This window comes from Homo sapiens, chromosome 6 (genome assembly GCF_000001405.40).
Source record: "Homo sapiens chromosome 6, GRCh38.p14 Primary Assembly".
In the NCBI taxonomy this organism is placed as follows: domain Eukaryota; kingdom Metazoa; phylum Chordata; class Mammalia; order Primates; family Hominidae; genus Homo; species Homo sapiens.
In genome coordinates this window covers 9,518,067-9,522,856 of record NC_000006.12, presented here as the reverse complement: position 1 = coordinate 9,522,856, position 4,790 = coordinate 9,518,067, and the positions used below count along the sequence as shown (strand labels likewise).

At 35.5% G+C, this 4,790-nt stretch overlaps 2 annotated features.

The window, feature by feature from the left end:
- Positions 1,970 to 2,019: an enhancer, noted in NCBI's record as "active region_23964". NCBI's record gives its function as "activates an Ori minimal core promoter by ATAC-STARR-seq in GM12878 lymphoblastoid cells {active_cell/tissue: GM12878}" and the evidence as "EXISTENCE:reporter gene assay evidence [ECO:0000049][PMID:35858748]".
- Positions 2,426 to 2,505: an enhancer, noted in NCBI's record as "active region_23963". NCBI's record gives its function as "activates an Ori minimal core promoter by ATAC-STARR-seq in GM12878 lymphoblastoid cells {active_cell/tissue: GM12878}" and the evidence as "EXISTENCE:reporter gene assay evidence [ECO:0000049][PMID:35858748]".

Sequence of the window (4,790 nt, the reverse complement as noted above, 5' to 3'; positions counted from 1 at the left end):
GTGCAGCTTTACCTCCAATAGGCTATGTCTTTTTCTTTCATGAATGCCAGTACTGACTACTGTTTAGTCCAGTTTGTTACTGATATGAAATGTCATCTTTCCAATGCTTTAAAGATATAACCTGTTAGAAGGTTTTTGTTTTGTCTTGAACTAGAAAAACGATAGTGGCAAAACACTGATAATTTTGCAGCAGTGAATCCTCTTTCAAAACGACAGTTCTCTTTGATCAGACAAAAGCTAGAAAATGTATTGTCACTTTTAAAACTACTTAATCTTTATTACCTTTTGCATGATGTTTTCAACAATAATAGAATGTTAACGAAGAACAATTTTAGTGGTGTTTCCAGTCAATAAATGGCACATACCAAAGCAAAAAACGTGGGAAAACCAGTTTTGCAGCACTTTTCTGACCATCTAGCTCTGACACTGAAAAAAAAAAAAAGGCTGAAGATAATTTTTGGATTGTGCCTTGGGTCCTGTGAATTCTACTCCTTGTCCCAGATGTGGCTGCATGCATGAAAGAGCTGGGCTGAGATTATCTTAGATTGTGTTGGAGAGAGCTTTCTAATGAACAAAGAACATTTTCAAATGTTCAAATGTTGTGTAAATTCAAATGTTGTGTAATAAATATTATGATGACGGTAGGCCTGAGATTCTACAGGGCTGTGTACACAGGCAAGGCCACTGATCTAGACCGTTAGGGACACTGTGACCATGTGACCTACAGGAAGAGTTGTATTTGCATAAATTAAAGTAATTGCTGAAGACGAATCCTTAACAATGTAAGAGGAGGCACTAGAAATGACCCACAAAAGAGTCACATAAAATATCTGCCAAGTTCAAGAACCAATGCAATTTCCCAACAATATTAATCTAATAAGACGTTTTGCTCTTCTCCCTTCTGCCCAAACTTCTCCCTCTCTCCCATTCTGGAGGGTCCGAAACCAAGCTCGGTGGGATGGAGAAGAGGAGGTAATGTATAAGGCAGGGGAGGGGAGAGTAACCAGCCCTCTTACTACACAGGCCTGGGCTGGACAATGGCAAGAAGCCCTTACTTATTAAATTTGAGGATGGTACCACTATGTGGAGATGATCTTTTTAATCACTGAACAGAAACTGATTTCATTATTTGCCTGTAAGCAGAAAAACCAGAGGACTTGTCAAAAATTGCATCCAAGCATAGGGGAAAAACAAGCCCCATATAATACACATGAAAGATCAAAATAAAATCCTTCTTTGATTATCCTGCAAGTTATGTTTCTTTGGTGTAACATTTATACATGTAAAATGGGATTAATAATATAATAATAATAGTTACCTGGGATGGTTGTTGTGATAATCAAGAGAGACAATATGTGTCAAAAGATGACATACACCTGGCTTAAAGAAAGTATTTGCTGCTATTTTAATAGTCTTCCTGTTGTAACTTTATCATGCAAAATCACGTGAGTGGGCTGGAGAACTGAATAGATTAGTAAAGGGGAAAAACAAATTATGAAGAAGAGACAGAAATGGAAAACCCCACTGATTTGCCGATTATGTGCAGTGCATAGGGAAAGCCCACAAGGTGAGAGGCTGAGAATGGCTATGGGGGAGATAGGAATCAAATCATCGTTACCCAGAGGCTGCAAGAGGTTTTCACATCAGGCCTCCAAGACCAAATTGTCACACAGGTCACTACCTTGGGCCTGAGAAGTCAGTTTATCTGCCTGGTCTTTTGTTTATTTATTCAGCTAAAATCTTTGATATTTTCTGTGGAAGTCTGTGAGACAGAATCATGGCAGTCAGAAGAGAAACAAGTTATCCTGTTAAAAAGGTATTCTTTATTAAGTTTAAAAATTTCCCCCAATAGTTCATTGAATGACTCACTTTCCGAGGATTTTTTCATGAATATGTGGTATTTAAGGATGTGACTCATATTCTTAGCAACGTTGTAAATTTGACACATTAAGACAAACGGTTGAGACACATACAGAACAATAATGGGCTACTAATGCAGGAAAAAAATCTTTGAAATCAAGATGAGACTTCTGTTTATATGGTGATATGCCTGGATTTCATATTAGCCCATGTTTTATATTTGAGCCGAAATGTTAAAATCCAATCACCATAATGTTCTGAGCTACATGTTTCCAAAACAGCTGATATGGTTTGGATATTTGTCCCCTCCAAATCTCACATTGAAATGTGACCAATGTTGGAGGCAGTCCTTGTGGGAGGTGTTTGGTTCATGGGGGAGGATCCCTCATGAATGGCTTGGTGCTGTCCCCGCAGTAATAAGTGAGTTCTCGCTCTGTTTGTTCACGGGAGAGCTGGTTCTTTAAACAGCCTGTCATCTCCCTTTTGCTTCCTCTCTCGTCATGTGATATGCTGGCTCCCCCTTTGCCTTCCACCATGATTGTAAGTTACTTAAGCCTCATCAGAAGCCAAGCAGATGCTGGTGCCATGCTTGTATGGTCTGCAGAACTGTCAGCCAAATAAACCTCTTTTCTTTATAAATTACTCAGTCTCAGGGATTCCTTTATAGCAATGCAAAACAGACTAAAACAGTAGCTGATCAATTCACTTCACATTTCAATTTCAATTTTTTGAAATTCAATTTTTATTTCGATTTTTTCTCCCACTTTCATAAAATAGTTAACTGAATTCTGTATGGAATTCCTAGGATGCTTTCATGCCATTTGGACACAATCAAGCATCCATCATGTCCATTAGATTTTTAGTTCAATTACCAAAAGGACATTTTCCTCCTCAACATAAACTTGGGTGTATGAGACCCTTAGAAAGTAACTTCATTGTGTTGATCTTAATCTCATAATGCAGTTTACCTTTCTCCCAAGGAGCAGTGTACTTATTACAGAAGAAAGCTATTTCCAGTATCTCTCCCTGTGTGTGGTGGGTGTTACATTTATAGCAAAGATCTACAAATAAGGTTTCAGTATTTATGTTTGCTGTTCTGCTATACTGTTTTCTATTGATCTGTTTTTACTAAGACTGATGGTAAGGGCTATGGGATATAGAAGTTATTTTGAATTTCTGTTTAGATAAAATATATCAGTGCATTTAGTCATCATTGGAAATATATGTCCAAATGGGTTTAGTCGATGTTTAGAGGCTAAAATTTTCATGCAGAAGAAATTAATCATCTTTGTAAGAACTTAGAGTTAGTAAAGTTAGCATAATCTGAATGTCATATACTTGATGATATTTAAAAGAGAATAGATTGAAGTAAGAGTCGATACAGGTAGATCAATGAATATCATCAGAAATGTAGATAATTAAATAATTGTAAGAAAATTTCCACATTCGTGTGACAGTGCACACAACTAATTATACTAATCACAGTATATATATATGTATATGTGTGTGTATATATGTATATATGTGTGTGTGTGTGTGTGTATATATATATATAGATTTTTGTTTCATCCAAGAAACAAAGAAAATTGCAGTTCAGCATTTTCCTTAAGATACCTAATGGTATAGATGCTAATTTTATTTATGTCCTGTGTAAAAACTAATTGCATAAAAAAGAAGAATAACAGTTTAAAACCAGTCTAAATAAATGCTATTACTTATAAATTAGGGGAGGTGATATCTAGAATACAATGAACTGTTTTACTTACATAGTTTCAAATATCACTCCAATCAGGAAATACCTTACAATAGAACCCCGTGATGCATATATTCTGCTTCACTTTGGAGGCCCTATGTTTATATTAGGTCAAAATAGTTACTTTGAAAAGTCATCTATTTATTTGGTCACTTGCCTAATCGATTTTATGTAAAAACAGTTTGCCTAATGCCAAAAAATAGAAGCTACTTGCTTATGGCTTGAATATTTGGACATTGTTTTAACCCCATTTTATGTAGATATTTTGGTATTATATATATAAAACAGTCTTATGAGTCCTGCAAAATGGACTTAATGCCATGCTCAAAGTACCCTAGAGAAGATTCTAATGAAAAAATTGATGTCTCAATGCTTTTTCACCCTACTCCCTAAATGTTATTTCTTCGTTTCCTTATTCTTCAGCAGTTTTTATTTACATTTTTATTTTTTAATTGATCAAATAAAAGTTATATATATTTGTGGTATACAGGCGGTTTTGATATATACATGCACACATACACACACAAACACACACTCTGAAATGATTAAATAAAGTTTACATATTCATAAAGTTAAGTATGATGTCACATACTTATTTCTTTTTTTGGTGAGAACATTTAAAATCTACTGTCTCAGCAATTTTCAGGTATCAATACCTTGTTATTAACAGTAGTCACCATGCTGTACAATAGATCTCCAGAACTTAATCTTCCTATTTAACTGAAATTCTCTACCCTTTAACCAACATCTTCCCATTCCCTCCACTTCCCAGCCCCTCTGACAACCACTTTTCTACTCTGTTTGTATGAGTTCAACTTTTTTTGGTTCCACATATAAGTGAAATCATCTTCACCTCTTTACTTCTATTATAAGTCACATTTTATACAACAATCTCAGTCTGTATTAGGCTGAAGCCCAACTAGAACCTCCCAATTCTTTGCTAAAGTAGACAATGTAGCTGGCAGGGAAAGCCACCTATTCTAGGGGAATAACCTACAAACAATGTCAGTTTTAGATCTGACCATATCCTCCAATATTTGAAAGTGGCCTCCTGACAGTTCTGACAGTTTCAGCTATTGCAATTAGACCTGTTCTGATCAAAAGGGATTGTCCAGAATGTATTTATAAAATACGGATGGGGTTTAAACCCGTGTTATTCATCCAGTTAATCTAATTA